This window comes from Homo sapiens, chromosome 2, assembly GCF_000001405.40.
Source record: "Homo sapiens chromosome 2, GRCh38.p14 Primary Assembly".
Taxonomy (NCBI): domain Eukaryota; kingdom Metazoa; phylum Chordata; class Mammalia; order Primates; family Hominidae; genus Homo; species Homo sapiens.
The window spans coordinates 75,223,224-75,243,067 of record NC_000002.12 but is presented as its reverse complement, the minus strand read 5'-3'; the positions used below and the strand labels follow the sequence as shown (position 1 = coordinate 75,243,067).

The following is a 19,844-nucleotide window of genomic DNA, read 5'->3' as shown; positions in this document are numbered from 1 at the left end:
CTGGTCTAGTTGTAATGAGTTCCCTCAGTGCTTGCTTGTCTGAAAAGGATTTTATTTTTTGTTTGCTTATGAAGCTTAATATGGCAGGGTAGTGAATTCTTGGTTGGAATTTCTTTTTCTTTAAGGATGCTGAAAATAGGCTTTCAACCTCTCCTGACTTATAAGGTTTTTGCTGATATGTCTGCTGCTGGCCTGATACATGAACTGACTCTTCTCTCTAGCTGCCTTTTAGATTATTTCATGTTGACCTCAGTGAATCTGACAAATATGTGCCTTGGGGATGGTGTTTTGAATGATACCTAGCAGGAGTTCTCTGTATTTCTTGAATTTTCATGTCAACCTCTCTAGCTTATTTAGGAAAATTTTCATGGACTATGTCTTTAAATATATTTTCCAAGTTGCTTACTCTCTCTCCTCTCAGGAATTCCAGTGAGTGGTAAGTTTGATGTCTTTACATAATCCCATATTTCTCAGAAGTTGTATGAATTTTTAAATCCTTTTTTTTCCCTTATTTTTATCTGACTGACTTGATATGAAGAACTTTTCTTCAAGCTCTGAGATTCCTCAGCTTGGTCTCATGCTGTTTCTCAGCTGCATGACACTGGTGTTGTGTCTGCATTTCCTTTGTTAGGTATTATGCTGTTAATACTTCCAATTGTATTATGAAATTCTTGTAATGCATTTTTTGGTTCCAGAAGTTCAGTTTGGTTCTTTCTTAAAATTACTATTTTATCTTTCAGCTCTTTGACTATTTTACTGGATTCCTTGGATTAGGTTTCAACTTTCTCCCTAAGCTTGATGAGATTCCTTGACATCCAGATTCTGAATTCTACATCTGTCATTTCAGTCATTTTAGTCTGTTTAAGAATCATTGCTTGGGAGCCAGTGGGTTTGTTTGGAGATAAGTGGACATTCTAGCTTTTTGAATTGTCAGAATTCTTGTGTTGATTCTTTCTCATCTGAAAGGACTTATGTTCCTTTAACTGTTGTGTAAGTTGAATATAGTCAATTGGCTTCATTTCTGGGTGCTTTCAGAGGGCCAAGACTCTGTATACTATCTTTATTTGCGGCTGGATTCTTGTCCTTGGTTTCAAAGTGACAGAATATTTTTGCAGTTGTAGTTTAGGCTGTGATTCAGTAGATGGCACTAAAGAATTATAGCCAGAAGATAAGTGCTTATCTGCAGGGCTTTATTGTATTTCCTCATATTTGCAGCTGTCCTCTGTGGTGGAGGAGGGAGAGCTGACTCCCTCACCGGGTCCATTTCTAGGCCTTGGGGGAGACCTCTCTGATCACTGGTGTTCTGTCTTTATTTCCTTTATTAGGTGTTCTGGGCCACGAGACTCCCTCAGGCAGAGGCTATGGCAGGGCGATAGGCCACATTCTTTCCAAACTGGCCCTGTGGAGGGAGGAACACCCTGCTCCCACACCAACCCATGAACCGATATGTCTTATCACCCCTTTCAGTGCTCTGAGTATGAGGACTCCTCCCCAGCTCCAGTACCAGCCACAGATCTCAGCTCAACACTCTCGAGCTCTGTACCACAACCCCAGGATACAGGGACCAGCCAGCAGCTTCATCCCCTGGACCCTTGGGTTGGGTTCCAGCTGTGCTGGGGGATCTGATGTGCTCCCAGGCCACTGGGAAACTACTTAGATGGAGCAAAGGATCCAGGCTAAGCAGCAGAGGCTGTGCTGTGTGCATACTCCTGCAGAATGGCCAGGCAGGGGTCCTGGGAAGGGCTGGCAGGCAGGTGGGTCTGCAGAAAAGATGCAACCCAGTCCCATTGGGAAGCACCAGCCCTGTTCTCTCCTGATCTGGTGGTCAGCTGGGGCTAGAGTTACTTGGAAGAAGATAGAGAGCCCTATGGGCGCCTATGGCTGTACTCCACTGCAGCTGCCCCAGGCACAAAAGCCCCTAGGCTCTGCTCCAGTTGAAGCCCTGTCTCTGCCTACTCTCAGGGAAGATTCCCCTGCCAATTCAAACATCCATGGGGCATGTGGGGTCCCCTATAGCTAAGATCACAGAGGGCCATGGTGAAAGTAAGCTGTCCCTCTGTTTCTCTACTCACTCCTTCCACATGATCCATTCAGGGCCATGAACTAGCCCTAGCATTCATGTATCCTGCACAGGGTTCCTAGCTTTTTCCCTCTTCACCCTCAGTGTCTGTATCACCTTTCCAATAGCTGTTGGTGTTTTCTCTCTGAAGGTCTGCTCAAAGTATGTGCAATACTTTGGTCTCTCTCAGTGGAAGCAGTGCTTCCTGGATGCATCTAGTGAGCCATTTTGTCCCCTCTGAAGACAACTGCCAATCTCTGCAGCATGAGCTGCTTCGTGCCCAGGAGCTCCAAGGTGCCACCAACCACAAGGGCTACAGCCATGCAGAGCATGAGCATGCAGGCCTAGGTGTCCAGGGTGGGAATGGGGCTCTGGCTTTTTCGAACAGTGGGCACAGGCATGCTGTTCCCACCATCAGCTCAGGCACTGGCAGGAGGAGGGTACCACTCAGGAGGCTGTGAGAGAAGGATCAACAATTTTTTTTTTTTTTGAGACGGAGTCTCGCTCTGTTGCCCAGGCTGGAGTACAGTGGCACTATCTCAGCTCACTGCTACCTCTGCCTCCTGAGTTCCAGCAATTCTCCCGTCTCAGCCCCCTGAGTGGCTGGGACTATAGGCGCCCGCCACCATGCCTCTCTCATTTTTGTATTTTTAGTAGAGATGGGGTTTTACCATATTAGTCAGGCTGGTCTCGAACTCCTGACCTTAGGTGATCTGCTGGCCTCAGACTCCCAAAGTGCTGGGATTACAGGCGTCAGCCACCACGCCCAGCGACAATTATATTCTTGAAGGGAGGAGGCAGTATTATAAACACAATAATTTTTCCAAATGAGTATTGTATTTAACGTAATTTTAATCAAACCTCCATGGGAGCTGGAATTTGACAAAATTAGTTTGAAATTTACCTAAAGAGAGAGAATAGTAAAGAATTTTTAATAGTAAGAATAATAAGGGTGGAGAGCATGCTCTGACACATGATAAAACAGATTTTAAAAGCTATGATACTCAAGACAGTATACTTTTGGCAACACTAAAATAAAATACAGATGTCTGAATTAAACAGAAAAGAAACTGTGAAAATGACCATGCAAGCCAATACCATGCATAACAATTTTAATAATCAATAGGAAAATTATAATCTTTCATAAATTTTTAAAAAATTATCCTGTGGTTAGTTACAAATGCATAGAAAAATGCGGAAAATGGCAAAACTAATGTTTATTTAGCACGCTGAAATTTTAGAAACATTGATAATTAAAGCGCTACATTTATCTGCAAAAAAACTCACCAAGAGTCATTTTAACATTGCTTACCTTCTTCTCATGGTATATCTTATGATAGGAAGCAAGCTTCACTTCTATATCTTGGCAACTTGTCATATTCCTTCTTAAGTTTGGATCCGTTTACATTATTTTACCCTTTGCACTTTCAATGCTGTAAAATGTCTCTGAGAATTCTTTTAATGCTGAGTTTATTCCTGGCAGCGCTTCCTCAAGGACATCTTCATTCTTTTCGTCAGAACCACTTTCCTTATTTACACCATTAAGTAGACTTTTACTAAGTTCCTTCTGGCTACTTATCTAGAATTTCTCCAATGACAGCAGTGTCAACATTTTTATGGTCATTTATTTCTTTTATAACTCCATTTATGTTCAATTCTACCTCTACTTCTAGTTTATCACTTTCTTTGTTGCGCTTTCAGTTTTGCTGGCGAATTTCTTCTTTTTATTATTCATCTTTTGTAAAACATCACGTATTTATCATTGTGAGACAAGGAGGGACTAAAACTTCACACTTTTCTGTGTGTACATAGACTGAATAACAGTTGCACAGTGACTAGTCATAGACAGAATTTAAAAGAATGTTGCTGATCATGGATGATGATGCACATTTTTTTTTAATGTAGTCATTTGTGGGCTGAAACTTGTACCTTATACAAGCACTCACGATATACCATGATAACTGAAATTTAATTATGTTGTTAGGAGACTGGTGTCATTTAATCAAACCATGGTAACTAAAATCCATGCATATCAGAACCATGTCAAGTGAGGAGTTTGTGTATGTGTGTGTGTGTGTGTGTGTGTGTGTGTGCGCGCAAGAGACTGCTATAATTCAGGGTCAAAAGAAAGGGAGGAATATTGTGTAAGAGATGCTGAGACAATTGATGTGTTACTTGAAATATGACAATGTTTATATCTGTCACACTATACTCAGAATAAAGTCAAGGTTTTTCAGAGTTAAAAATAAAATCATCAAGCAGTAAGAAAATTATGTGAGACTTAAAAACAGTTTGCTGATAAGGTAAACTGGGGTCTATAAAGCTCAGAATAATGTTTGTAGTGGTTGAGCTCCTAAAGTTTAATAAAGTAAACTTTATTGAAAGGTACTTTTAAACATATTATATCATTCTATCCTTTCAACAATCTTGAAAAATACCTAGTAAAGATAGCACATGTGTAAGAATGGCTTTGTTCTTATGAGATATGGGTTGAAGTATTTAGATATGAACTGTTCTGATGTCTGCACTCAACTTTCAAACAATTTGGCCAGAAATATATATATCTGTAGATAGATGACATAGGTAAATAAGTAATGGTGACAAAATATTAATAATGAATAAGTGTAAATTAAAAATATGTAGGAGTTCATTACACTATTCTTTCACTATTTCTATAGTTTTAAAAGTTTCTAAAATGCAAAATTTAGAAAAATAAAGTAAAGCATCTACAGTGTATTTTTGAAGGATGCTTAAACAAAACTTGCTTCATAAATTCTGGATTTATTATTTTCTTTAATGGGAGTCAGAAGAAAAATTTATTAATTTGAACATTTGTCCATTTTGTGCTTTTAGTATTAAATATTTACTACAGTTCAGCTGTCTTTTAGAGACACAAATAATTTTAAGGATTCATGTTGACAGCTCTTTTTCTTAGTTAAAAGTTAATCAAAATAGATTTGGTCCTGAGAATGAGGGTGTGTAATGAGGCACTTCTGGTAGAGCTGAGTGAAAGATAAAGCATTGTTTCAAGTTTATGCTCTTATAAACCAGAAAGTCTAATTGTGTCCCTATTGCCTCACATCACTTTTTTCAACTAGCTTATAATTGACCATCACTGGCAATTGATCTTCTCCTTTACTATCTAGGACACAAGATATGGATGTGACAGTTGGCACTACAGGTCTCTCCAAAAGTAGGAAGTGCAAGGGCACATGTGGAGCTGCCTAAAGTTTGCACAGAGATATTGCTCCAGAAACAGAAACCACACAGAATTCCGCAGGCATCTGAGCCTGGAGCAGCCTCAGCTGGGTGCCATTTTGACCCCAGATACTGGAGATTTACAGACATGGTTGCAGCCATTGCACTGCTCCAAGGAGAGAGAAAGGAAAATGGGTGCACTCATGCACACTCAGGCAGGGACTTGCTCCCCTGCTACAATCATCTGTTGAGACTGAGACTCAAGTGGACCACACTTCCCACAGCTTCTTGCTCATGCTGCCAGCCTGGGTGGTCCCTGGCTCTCTCTGGTCCCAAGCCCAAGGCTCTATTTTGAGAGTTTAACTCTGGACTGTCCCCTATCTTCAGCCTGAGCTCAGGCTGATGCAGCTGCAACCACTGCCTGGCTAAGGAGGGACAGGGAGACCAGGTCATCCTACTCATATCTAGGACGATACTCACTGCTCTGCAACAGGCTGCTGTGAAACTGGCTGACATGTGAGTGAACCACACTCCCCACAGCTTCTTGCCCATACTGCTTGCCGGAGCATTGCCCCATTCTCCCTGGATGTAAGCCCAAGGCATCCTTTTGAGAGTTTAATTCTAAGCTGCATCTCACCATCGCCATGAGTAAACTATGCATTGGACCAAGGACTAATATCCAGAATCTATAAAGAACTTAAAGAAATCAAGAAGAGGCCGGGCGCGGTGGCTCACGCCTGTAATCCCAGCACTTTGGGAGGCCGAGGCGGGCGGATCACGAGGTCAGGAGATCGAGACCATCCCGGCTAAAACGGTGAAACCCCGTCTCTACTAAAAAATACAAAAAATTAGCCGGGCGTAGTGGCGGGCGCCTGTAGTCCCAGCTACTTGGGAGGCTGAGGCAGGAGAATGGCGTGAACCCGGGAGGCGGAGCTTGCAGTGAGCCGAGATCCCGCCACTGCACTCCAGCCTGGGCGACAGAGCGAGACTCCGTCTCAAAAAAAAAAAAAAAAAAAAAAAAAGAAATCAAGAAGAAACTCCCATTGAAAACTGGGCAAAGGTCATGAACAGACACTTCTCAAAAGAAGATTTACAATCAGCTAAAAAACATATGAAAAAATGCTCAACATCACAAATCATCAGAGAGATGCCAATCAAAAGCACAATGAGATATTGCTTCACACAAGCCAGAATGGTTATTAAAAAGTCAAAAAGTAATAGATGTTGGTGGGGCTGTGGAGAAAGGGAATGTTTATGACTGTTGGTGAAAATGCACATTAGTTTAGCCCTGTGGGAAAAAGTTTGGTAATTTATCAAAGAACTAAAAATATAATTACTATTCGACTCAGCAATCCCGTTACTTTGTATATACCCAACAGAAGTGAATAATTCTACCAGAAAAATACATGTACTTGTATGTTTATTGCAGCACCCTTCACAATAGCAATGACATGGAATCAACCCAGGTGTTCATCGACAGTGGATTAGATGAATAAAATATGGTACATATAACCATGGAATACTACCCAGCCATAAAAAAGAATGAAATCATATCCTTCACAGCAACATGGATGCACCTGGGGGCTATTATCCTAAGCAAATTAATACAGTAACAATAAACCAAACACTGCTTATTCTCACTTATAAGTGGGAGCTAAACATTGAGTACACATGGACACAAAGATAGGAACAATAGACACTGGGGACTCCTAAAAAGGGGAGGGGTGGGTATGGGTTTAAAAACTACTTATTGTGTACTATGTTCACAACTTGGGCGATAGGATCATTAGAAACCCAGACCTCAGCATCATGCAGTATACCTTGTAACACACTTGCATATGTACACCCTGAATCTAAAAGAAAAAGTGAAATAAAAATAGCATATAAATAAATAACATATAAATAAATAAATGGTGCCACCATTGGTCAAGCTTTCCAATTTAAAGTCCTAGAAGTAAGTCATCTTTGACTTTGCTTTCTACCTCTCCGTCTCTCTTGGGGGTTCGGTTGATTTCACGAGGATGACTAATCATTCCAGTTTGCCCAGGACTGAAGGGTTCCCAGCATTTTGGATTTTCAGTGCTAAAAAAAGGAAAATCCAAGACAAACTGGGACAAGCTGGTCACCTTAATTCCACCCTTAAGTATTTCTCAAAACCCTCCACTTCCCATCATCCCCACTGCTTTAACTCAGACAACCACAGTCTCAAGTTAGAATTCCTCCAGTGGCTCTTGCTCTAGTCTCCTCGCTCCTAAACTTACCCTTTCCCATACATTCTCCATATTATTGATAAGATGCTCTTTCAGGGATGTAAATCTGATTAGCCCCAAATTAAGTCATCCATTAGCTCCTACTGTCTCAAGGATAACTTCTAACTGTTTAACACAATCCACTGCAAATCCTCCCGAATGTGGCTTTTGCCTGCCAGTTCCATTCCTTAATTCCCTCCCCTTTTTCACAGACATGTACACTCCAGTCATATTGAATGACTCGTAATTCCTTAAATATGCCATGGGATTAGATGCTTCTGGGTCTTCCCAACAAAATCTACCTAAATTGCTCTCCTCAGTTTCTTTACCTGGTAACCACCTACTTTTTACTGAAAATTCAGGTTCAGAGTCACCTCCTCAGGAAAGTTGTGTTTGATTCCCCTTCTCTACTCCAGCTTGAATTAAGTGTCACCCTTGCATGCATTGAGGTGCTCCCTGTGCTGGGAGCTATCATGGCACTTATTGTGTTGTGTTAACTTATGTATCAATCTCTCTATTAGACCATGGAATTATTGAAGGGAGGTGATGTGATTTCTTCTCGTTAATTCCACTGCTTAGGATATGCCCAGAATAAGAAAAAACAAGGAACTGGGAGTTTGAAGGTTTGAGAAACAGTCCTGGCTCTCCCCTTAAAAAGCCACTTATTTCTCCTGGGCTGTGGCTTCCTGTCTTCCCTTTGCTTGGCTGCCACTTCTCATTCTTCAGGTCTTAGCTCATATATCACTGGCTCTGAGAAACCTTCCCTGATCCCCCAAGACAAGGTTTGGTGAAATCCCATAGCACCCTATTTTGCCCTCACCTGTTGTCTATAAATCTCATTAGTGGAGGAATTATTTCTGTCTTGTTTATCTCTGTCCCCAACATCTGGCATATTACCTGGCACATGGTAGAAAGTCAATAAATAATGGTTGGATTGATAAACTTTAAACTACAGGGCATCAAACAGAAGAAGATGATCTCTAAGATTCCTTTAGGCTCTAACCTTCTGTCAAGCAGAGATAAAGCCCTATATTTCCACAGTGACTAAGAAGCATTAAATTATGATTGCCACCTTTGGAAACTGCTCTAAATGGCATTGTGTCATCCATTGTTCAGGCAAACACACATTCAGTCGAGTTTTTGCCAAAAGTAAGGGCATGATGAGATAGAAATTTGAGTAAAAAGGGTCATCTAAAAGCAATGCTAGAGAAAGAAGGAGCATGAAAGGCAAACTATTTGTTCCTCGTGAGTGCAGGAAATGATGCATCCTCACGAAAGTACCTGACGCCAACCCACAGCAGGCCACATAGAACCTTTTGGCATCCCAGCTGGGGAAGACCATGGATGCTCTGATACCTTGTCCATTCTACCTACTCCCACCACCAGGGACAGGGAGAGCCCTTAGGTCAGCCCAGGGACAGAGCAAGCCCTCAGGCCCTGCTCTTACTGTTGCTAACCTGAAGAACCGTAACTGTCTTACTACACAGGCACCCCCAGCCTGAACCAAGCCCCCCTAGCTGTCTGAACTGCAATTTCTTCACCTCTCACTTTCCAGAAATCCCTGTAGCTCATGCCTGTCCAGCCTACTTTCCTTCTGACAACACTCTGTATTTTGGCAAGTGGAGGGAACTCAATTATAATCACGGGCAGAGACGTCTTGTTGTTGCTATTCCTACATAATTATATTCTTCCTCAGAGAGTCACTTCCTATGTCCACTGATTACCACCATGGCTTCCTGCCCTTTATCTCCACAATACAGCTCTGTGTTAATTTTGTATCTAAAGAGAACATGGATCATTCATGAAGCCTTCGTCCAGTCGATTTCTTAAATTATTTGCCAAACATTATCCTCAAACCAGAACCGAAAACTTTCAAATGGCCAGACAAGATTAATGTATTGCTATTAGAAGGATTACTTGGATCCTAGAGATTTCTCTTCTTCTTCCTATTATTGTCATAGTGTTTCAATTTCCTCTCCTCGTGAAGAAGCAGCTTAACATAGAAAAAGCTTTAAAGTAAAATACAAGTCTCATGTCCAAAGGGCTGATTTTAGAACTTATGGGAGTTGGTGAATGATGAGAAAGAAGAAGGCTATGAAGAAGAATAGAAATTAACTTCTGTGGCGACCCCCATGTGAGCCCTGAGGAGAAAGCGGCTGCAGACAGAAATGGAAGGCACTATTTCACTGAAAGACTCAGACACTGGGGTGCAAAGAGTGTCACAAAAGAGGAATATGGATAATGCCCCCAATTTCTTCTTACTCTTATGGTCAGAGAGTCTTGAGGGTGGCAGCTCATTGGTGGGTAGCTGGGGCAGAGAACTACACAGGCCTCATTAAAGAAGGCTAGAGAAGGGTAAAGGAAATAGCAAGTGCTATGTGGTAGCCAGAAGGATTTGTTAATAAGCCCTGATGAGAGAGTCTGTGGAAATAACTGGGAGTTTTCAGGGTCTAGAGGTCCTTTTAAGAAAGGAGAGGCCAGGATCCAGTGTAATCAGATTATTGTAGTTAATATGACCCTGAAATAAAGTGTGGTCTCTGTGAACAGAGGTTACACATTGGAGGATCTAACCCAAGGTTTTTGATGAATTCTGACATGGTGCCCATTTGCAGAATAAAACAATCACTATTCATAGAATAAATCCAGGAGGGCATCTGCATCATGGCTGCCTGACCACTGGCAGAGTCATGTCTTGAAATATGTGCCAATGTTCAAAGATTAGGCTGGTCCCATTTCCTTTTTTCCCCAAGGAAGGAAAAAAATGAAGCTAGTTAACTTCCTGGGGGAGAACACTGATTGGGCTTGATATGGCGGACACAGAGTTGGACCTTCACAAATTTGTGAATAGCGTTAAGAGGGAAAATTATTAAATGAAGAGAAGTCCTAGAAGCCAGTATCAAAAGAAACCAAATTTATGAAATTATTTTTAATGGGGTCTTTCCTGGAGCTGGAAAAAGGACTTATGATAGCAAGTAAATTTGGATCAATTCAAACGCCCTTTGAATCCCCTGGGATGAGCTTCTGTGACAGGCAAGAGGGAAAGCAGTGACGCCTGGAGGAGAAGCAAACGGTACACCAGGTGGACATGTTTGGAGACTCAGTGACTCCCAGTTCATGCAGAAGAAGATTTCAAAATTGGGTTAGAATGCACTGCTGAGATGGTGCCTGCCATGGTCTGAATGTTTGTGTACCCCCAGAATTCATATGATGAAACCTAATTACCAATGTGTTGGTATTAGAAGGTGGGGCCTTTGGGAGGTGATTAGGTAATGAGGGCAGAACTCTCATGAATGGCATTTAGTGCTTTTATAAAAGAGGTCCCAGAAAGCTGCCTTACTCCTTCCACCATGCAAGGACACAGCAAGAGGTTGCCATCTATGAACCAGGAAGTAGGCCCTCGCCAGACATCAAGTCAGCTGGTGCCTTGACTTGGACTTCTCAGCCTCCACAACTTGGAGAGACAAGCTTCAGTTTGTGGGCTGCCCAGATCATGGTATTCTTCTGTAGCATCCCAAACAGACTAAGACAGTGCCATAATGGCACATCCCTGAGACAAGGAAGAGAACAAAAATCACAAAGTCAGTGTTTCTTCCATTAGAGGTCATTGGAGCCTTGAAGTGACTGACTGCTAAAAAGCAGGTGGAGATTTAACACGGCATCACAGTCCAGGCAAAACCACCCCCAGCTGGACCCATACCAAAAGTAATCATTACAAAAAATAGTGAAAAAGGGCCAGTAGATTTGAAGACTGGCTAATGCAGGCCTATTTGGAACTTGTGACAACAGACGCTATAAACAGTGACATGCTACTGTGGTTACTCAAACTGCTTTAAAGTCTCCAGGCCTCTTTAGATTTTCACTGTCACAGTTAATCAGGAGAAGCAAATGAACAGAAGAAAAATCACAAGATACAGAAACCCTGCTTCAGGCTTTAGTGGTAGAAGTCAAAGCAAATATGGCCCAGCAATTTGAGATCATGTTGAGGTCATTAATGCTTTCAGGGGGTAGACAAGGCAAGGTCTTATCTCTGTTAGCAGAGAACCACCCCCAACACACACACAAACACACATACACACACACACACACACACACACACACACACACATATTATTCTGCAGGGAACAGGATGGGAATAATTTATCAGTTCCAATGGCTGGGATAAACCATCCTCTGACTGAAAAAAAATTAGAGGGAATATCGGAAAACTATATTTCTTTTTTACATTATGAAAGAAAACACCTAAAGTGTCTTAAACATAAAAGAGTAGTATGTTGGATAAGTATAAGTGAAGACTCACATAACCACCACATGGGACAAGAAATAGAACATTGCAAATCTCCTGTATGTTCCTTTTCATACACCCTAAAAATAAATACTACCCAGAATTTTTTTGGTAATTGCTTTTTTTTCTTTAAATTATTACTAATTAAATATGCATCCTTAAAATTATAGTTTACTTTTTCATGTTGTTAAATTTATATAGAGGAAATTTATTGTGCATAGTCTTCTATAGCTTGCTTTTTTTCCATTCAGCATTATGTTCATAAGATTCATTCATGTTTTTGTGTGTTATTCTAGTTGATTCATTCTCATTGCTGTATATTATTCCATTGTATGGCCATAGCACAATGTGTCTATATATACTACTGCTGATGGACATTTGTGTAGTTACTGGGACAACTATGAACAATGTTGCTGTCAACATTTTTGTCTGTGCATCTATTCATCTTCTCCACTTTCTCCATGGTACCTACCCAAGGGTGGAATTACTGGGTTGTATAGTTAGCATATGTATTAGACCAAGTTATTCAGAAAAATAGAACTGGTAGGATGTGTGTCTATATAGTTATAAAAATATTTGTTTTAAGACATTGGCTTTTGTAATTATGGAGGCTGGCAAGTTCAGAATCTACAAGATGCGCCAGCAGGCTGGAGACTCAGGAAAGAGCCAAGCATACAGTTCAGGTCCAAAGACCATCAGCTGCAATGTCCACCTATTTAAATGTTAATCTCATCCAAAACACCCTCACAGAAATATCCAGAATAATGTCTGACCACATATTTGAACAGCATGGTCCAGCCAAGCTGAGACATAAAATTAATTATCATAGTATATGTTCAACTTTTGTAAGTAACACTATTTTCCAAAGTGACTGTACTAACATAGAGTCATTATGGGTGGGGATCTTCAACTTCTCATTAGGATATGGTTGACACTGATAAGCACCCTATTTTATTCCTATAGAATGAGTAGCCCCCCAAAACTCCCAGAGGAGTGGGGGTTCTGAAATAAGGCCTTGACTCCTGATGCTCAGTGGCTAATATAATTGTCAAGTCTTTCTGTCATCAACAACAGGCCAGCTTTCTACTATAAAAACTGACAGGATGGGGTGCCTGTGTCTGAGTGCTGGCACTTCTGCCTGTATTTTCCATCAGCAAATGATGTCACAGTCCACCGAATAGCACAATCAGAAACTCAGGTCTCGTCTCTGACTCTACCACCTGTTTATAGCTAATAACTCATCAGTTTCTATTGACTCTGCCTCCCATGACTCTGTCAAACTCATCCACGTCACTCTATCCTCTCTAAAACTACTCAAGTTCAGGCAGTCCCTTGCAAGAATCTCTTAACTGGATCCCTGCCTCCTGTCTTGCCCACTCCAATCCATTCTGGACTCTAAGAAGCCAGAATATTTTTTCTAATATATATCTGTGAAGTTATCACTCTCCTGCTTAAAATGCCCACTTTGACATTGAATGAATTCCTTTCTCCTTAATATGAATTAACAAAGCTCAGCACAATGAGAGCCCCTATCTGGGTTTTCTTTACTCTCTTCTCTTCCTTCTCCCAATATTGCCCTCACAGCATTTCAGCCACAGAACACTTCTGTCAATTCCTTCAATGATCCACATTCTTTTTAGTCTCCAGGCTTTCACATACATAATCCTCTCTGCCTGGAATACTCTTTCTCCCATTCCATTCCTTTTATCTCATTAACTACTTACAACTCTTCAGGTTTTTGGCTAAGTGGAGACAATATTTTATGTTTATAAAATCTTGTTTAATATTTCCCTTTCTTAGGCACATGGAAAAGTACACTTCTCAGCCCTTGTGATATTAGGGAAAGCTATATCACTAGCTTTTACCAATGAAATGTGATTAGAAGTGATGTGTGTCATTTCCAGCCTGTGGCAATGAAAGCTTCTGCCCGATTCTCATGTCTTGCTTCACCTGCTATTGCAAACTCAGAGGTCTCAAGTTGAGAAGGCAGAGCCTTAAGCCTGAAGAGGCAGCATCTCTGAGTGACTACAAAAAAAAAGAGTCAGTCATCCAAGCCGACAGCAGGCTTTCTGTGAGCAAAAAACAAGAGGTTTTGTTGTTGTTGTTGTTGTTGTTGTTGTTGTTGTTGTTAACCCACTAAGCTTTGGAAATATTCCTGACCATAGCATCGCCTAGTATTTTCTGGCTAATACAGAAAATGGTGTCAGGAGTTGGATACTACCACAGTAAAAACTAATATATGTGCCATTGGCTTAGCAGATGGGTAGCAAAGGTAAGAAAATAGATATTCAATGCTGGGAAAACATTAATCCATGTATAAAGTTGAAAATATTTAGTAAAATTGTTGTCTGTGAATACTTGGAAAAGACTTCCCTAGTGAAGTTGTTCAGCTCGAATGGAAGACACTGGAAAGAAGAAATTTAATAATCTGTGTTATTTGTTATTTGCTGCATTTGGCGAGGAATTACAAAAAGAGTTGGAATCAGGAAATTAAGCAGAAATGAAGAACAAACAGCTCAGAAATTCGTAGCTTTGAAGGACTGGAAAAGCCAATTTCTTTTATTCCTCAAATAGGAAGAGATAACAATGTTAAAAAAAAAAAAAGTCTTTGAGTGGTGGCAAAAGCCTCTTAAAATTCAGTCTTGGGTCAGAGATGAGGCTAAATGTGAAGCCTTTCAATAGACACTCAAGACCTTCTCCATTAAGACAGCTTGCAGGGGATGAAAAAGCAAAAATAGAGAACACGTATGAGAAGCGTGTTGTGATGGTTAATATTAAGAGTCAACTTGATTGGATCGAAGGATGCAAAGTACTGTCCCTGGATGTGTCTGTGAGGGTGCTGCCAAAGGAGATTAACATTTGAGTCAGTGAACTGGGAGACACAGACCTACCCTCAATCTGGGTGGCTAGCATAAAGCAGGCAGAAGAAGGTGGGAGAGGCCTACTTGCTGAGTCTTCCAGCCTTCGTCTTTCTCCCATGATGGATGCTTCCTGCCTTTGAACATCAGACTCCAAGTTCTTCGGCTTTTGGACTCTTGAACTTACACCAGTGGTTTGTCAGTGGCTTTCAAGCCTTCAGCGACAGACTGAAGGCTGCATTGTCAGCTTCCCTACTTTTGAGGTTTGGGGACTCAGACTGGCTTCCTAGCTCTTCAGCTTGCAAATGTCTTATGCTGGGACTTCACTTTGTGATTGTGTGAGTCAATACTCCTTAATAAACTCCCCTTCATATATACATCTATCCAACTAGTTCTGTCCCTCTAGGGAACCCTGGCTAATACACATGTCTTATAAAGAACTTTGGGTATAAGTACAGACACAAGACACTGAGAAGAATCAGATATGTTTTTGAAACAGTTAAGCTGTCAAAGAAACCAAGAATTAGGAAAAAAAGAAAATTATGACTGTTCAAGACTTTTAAATGACACTTGGGTCCCTCATTTTACAGAGGTAACATCTGTGCTACACTCAAGGAGAAATACTCCTCAATGCTCCATTTAGATGTGACCATGAAGAAAAATGGGGAGAAAAGAACAAGGCTCCAAAAAGTAAGAACTAAGACCCAAAGCCACAGTGGATGAAGAAGCAAGAGCAGGGTCTACTCAAGGAATCCTTCTTATCCCAAGCTCAGGGTTCTCAGCCTTGGCTTTATTGAACTTTTAGACTCAGTAATTTTTTTGTTAAGGGATGGGGGCTGTCCTGTGCGTTGCAAGTTGTTTAGCAGTATCCCTTACTTCTACCCACTAGATGCCAGTAGATTCTCTTCCCCAGTTGTGACAAAAAGAAATGTCTGGAGACATTGCCAAATGTCCCCTAAGGGACAAAATTGTCCCTGGCTGGGAATCACTGCTTTAGGTGAAAGGCATCCCATAAAGTCTGCCCAGGAGGATTTCCGAATTGCCATGGACTAGTGACTGCTATGTATTTCCTATCCTTCTCCCTTCTAAACAAGAATGTTTATTGTGATTTCCCCTGTCTTATTTTACAATTGCATATTTGGTGTAGGGTGGAAGAACAGATACTCATCTATTTTTAGTTCATCTGAGAATCTGTCAATATATTCATACCTAGAAACATTTAAATATGCGTGCTGTACCATATTCTTAATCATCTAATTTATCCAGAAATCCTGGACTTTGAATTTGGTACAGTAACTGGCTGAGATACTGAATTGACTGTATTCTGTGTGTGGAAGAGAGAATAAAATGGGTATCTGGTAGCCAGAAAGATGGATTGAGGCAGAGACAATGCCATTCAAAATTCTGTTTCACAGTCCTCCTTTCCGAGCTCGTGACAATCACCCTTCCTAAGCTCCTTGCAGCTCAGGGGGACCATGTGACTAGTTCTGACCAAGGAACTGTAATTAGAATGCTTCTTACAGAAGCAAGAAATAAACCTCCATTAGTTAAGCCACTGGGATGTGGGGGCTGTTTGTTACTGCAGCATGGCATAGGCAGCTCAGATGTCACCCCATTGTGAAACCTGCCCTGACTCTCCAGCTCAGGGCCAGGTTCCCTGTATGTGCTCCATGCTTCCCCTAATATTACATGTATCATGCTATATTGTACTTGCCTTTTTATATGTCTCTCTTGTTCGGAACAGGAATCATACTTATCTACTGTATGTGTAGCACAGAATCTGGCACTTGAATATTTGTTGAATGAACAGATAATGATTACTAATCTTATATTGTTGAGGTTCAAATGCACTGAACAGATTATAGAAAGGTAGAGACAGCTGTTGTGACTGTTGATATCTCATGGAAATAGTAGGAGGGAAAAACCCTTGACTGGGCAAACACTACCCCATTAAAGGTCGTGGCTGATAACAAATATTTAATTATGTTCTCCATTAATCATGGCAGAATTCCAACCAGAACGTGGAGAAAAGTAGAAAACAAAATAACTCCCAAACCATTTTCATCCCCAGCACTGTTCTAGAAAATTCCGTAAGCTGAGTTCAGGCAAATTTAATTTTGATGACTTTTCAATTTCTGAGACATGAAGGAGAGACTGAAAATGTAGTGGGAGCAACAGTTTTCTCTACAGTATTTTTTGAAAAGTCCATGCCAGTAGTCTTACAGAATGTCTTACAGTCTGGAAGTGTCTGATTGTTACATCATGATTGCATTAAGAAACATTTTATTAAGTGTGGCTCACACCTATAATCACAACAGTTTGAGAGGCTAAGGCAGGAGAACCCCTTGAGCCCAGGAGTTTGAAACCAGCCTGGGAAACATAGTGAGACCTTGTCTCTATAAAAAGAGTAAAGCAGTCTTGCAACAGAGCAAGACCTTTCTCAAAAACACAAACAAAAAAAATACCAAATTCACTGAAAGGTTTTTTTTTTCAAATAATAATAAAGGCAGAGGAGTATTCAAGATTAGAGAAAATAAAGTAACATGACAATCAAATGAATGCAGCGTACGGTACATGATTGGGTCTGCATCAGGAAAAAAAAAGCTAAAAAAGACATTTTAGGATGATTGGAAAAATTAAAAGTACACCATCAATTAGATAACAGATAATAGACTGTTGTATTAGTGTTAAATACATGACAATATGACAATGTTATTTTCATTGTATAAGAAAACGTCTTTGACTTTAGGATGATGGATCTTAAACATTTTTTGTTTTTCAGAGCCAGAGTCTCACTTCATCCCCCAGGCTGGAATGCAGTGTTACAATCATAGCTCACTGTAGCCTCGACCTCCTGGGTTCAAGTGATCCTCTCACCTGAGCCTCCTAAGTAGCTGGGGCTACAGGCATTTGCTACCACACCCCAAACTGGATCTTAAACTTAAGCATATATCACAATCGCCTGAAGGGTTTATCAAAACACAAATTGTGTCCCTCCCCTATACTAGCACCTTCTCCTTCAACTCTGTTTCTGATTCAGTAGGTCTGGTCTGGGGCTCCAGAATTTGCATGAGCTCGATCAGGTATCCTCCCATTAAGGTAGAGGAGCATGTGGAGTGATGCAAAGGGAAATCCCTCAGCCAGCAACTGGCTGGAGGGCCGTCCAAAGGCAGCACTGTTGGCAGGGTGATCACTTTTCCTGTTATTGCCCTTTTCCATATGTAATTTTAAAGATTATTATGAATTACTTTGATAATAAATGAAATGGATACAATTTTAAGATTACAATTTTTCCAATTCATGTTATGGAGCAGCATCTGAACCAGGCAGACCTAATTACCATCCTTCCAAGTCAAAAACTGGTGTCCAGCGTGAATAGATGTATAGCAGAGCCTCTTCACAGTTGCTCTGGAGTGGGAACCGATGCTATCTGACAGGTTTCAATGTCTTCCCAGATCCTAGTGTGGTGCCTCCAGTGCTGAGGGATGAATGAGTTTAACTCTAAATAGCTGCATCTGCAAAACTTGAGAAGATGGCAAAGCGCCAAAACATGTAGCCATCCTAAAGAGTGTCTATAACATCCAGGATCTGAGACATCACTCCAGCTGGATATGGCTCAGAAGATGGCTTCATGTGACAAGGTTAACCACTTCCCCCAGCCACTGGTTGCCTGAAACTCAATTTGCCCAGAGACCTCAAAAGGCCTCATGCTCAGGCCTGCCACCTGTCACATCCAGGAGCCAAAACAAAGGAACAAGCAAACAATTATCAAGAGCGAAACCAGTTTTGTACAGAGGGATTTTGCAACAGGATAGTTTTGCCATTTTCCAGAAGATAGTTTCATGAGTTAAGGGAATCACTTCAGCCACATCGATTTTTATAGTACAGGTTGCCAGAATGTATCCCTGATTTTCTTTAATAATTTTAGAGAATGTCACTTTTAAAATTTTACTTAATATTAAAAATGTTAATCATTAAAGATTTGGAAAATACTGAAAAGTAGAGAAAAGAACATTTTAATTGTTTCATATTACCCTGCTAATTTTTAGTGGGTCTCTTTTCAGTGTTTTCTCTCGTAAGTAATATAAGTACTTATTTTTTACAGAATATGAATCAAATTACAGACACTATTTGGTACCCTGCCACTCTCAAACATCTTTGCCACATCATTAAGGTTGAAAATATGATTTTTGATGGATAGTTTATGTTTCATTATAAGCATATGCCATGAATTAAGCAACCCCAAGCTTCTATTATTGAATATTTAATTTATTTTTATAATTTCCTATTACACATAAAACTGCAGTTAGCCTTCCTAAACAAAAGTCCCTGGTTTTTATTGAGAATAAAAACCTAAAAATAAAGTCACTGGATCAAAGGGGTAAGTATTGTTTTAAGACTTTTAATACCTAATGTCATATTGTCCTCCAGAGAGTTTATGTCAATTTATACCTCTGCCAGCAAGGATTTGATGCCAAAGCCCTAGTAATAATGTCCATCTGCCTAGGGTCCCATATATACATCTGTCATTCAGTAACATGGGATCCAATAGGTGACTGGTTCAGGATTTGAGGATATTGGTTTCCAGCCATTAATTTCTTTGTATCAGGAAACAAGATACAAAGAGACAAGACCACAAATCAAGTGTTTAAAATTTATCAATGTAAGTCGTTATACTCGGTATTATGCAGTTTTCTCTTATTTTTTAAATCTCTGTTACTGTAGGTGTCTGTTTCTGTTTATAGACATAGTTTTTTGTTTATTTGAATTTTGTGTTTATTTCTTAAAATTTTAACCTGAAGTTTCAGTTCAAAAATTTTAATTCTTTATATAATAAATGACATTTTTAAACAGAACCATCTTTAGAGTAAATTTAAATTTTTTATGTTTTTGGAAGAGAAGAACAATTAGTGAGTTAATAAATTTTGTTTCTAAAACAACTCTGATTGAGCCAATTTATTTATTTAATACTCTGTGTTTTAAAAGGGATGACAGCATATGAAAATATTGGTTAATACTGAGTTCTTCCTGTCAAATGTAATACATGTGAAACAGAGACACATTTAAATATATATGTTCATAGTTCTAATCTAGGGAAGACATCACACTGGAGCTATAAATCCTGGGAAATAGAAGCGAAAACAAAACCATAATTAATATATTTATTAATGTTTCACCTACCGTGTATTCATTAGCTA

General features: G+C 40.2%; 2 long non-coding RNA genes across 3 annotated transcripts in view; one reads left to right on the top strand and one right to left on the bottom strand.

Annotated features, from left to right (window-relative positions):
• The window catches only part of LOC107985900 (uncharacterized), an 85,220-nt gene extending 65,634 nt beyond the window's left edge, over positions 1 to 19,586 (top strand). The window contains exon 2 of the long non-coding RNA XR_001739546.2: positions 5,206 to 19,586. This is a non-coding gene — a long non-coding RNA (uncharacterized LOC107985900). The remainder of the gene's footprint in view (positions 1 to 5,205) is intronic.
• Positions 1 to 19,844, bottom strand: part of TACR1-AS1 (TACR1 antisense RNA 1) — a 125,490-nt gene that overhangs the window by 36,740 nt on the left and 68,906 nt on the right. The window lies entirely within an intron of this gene.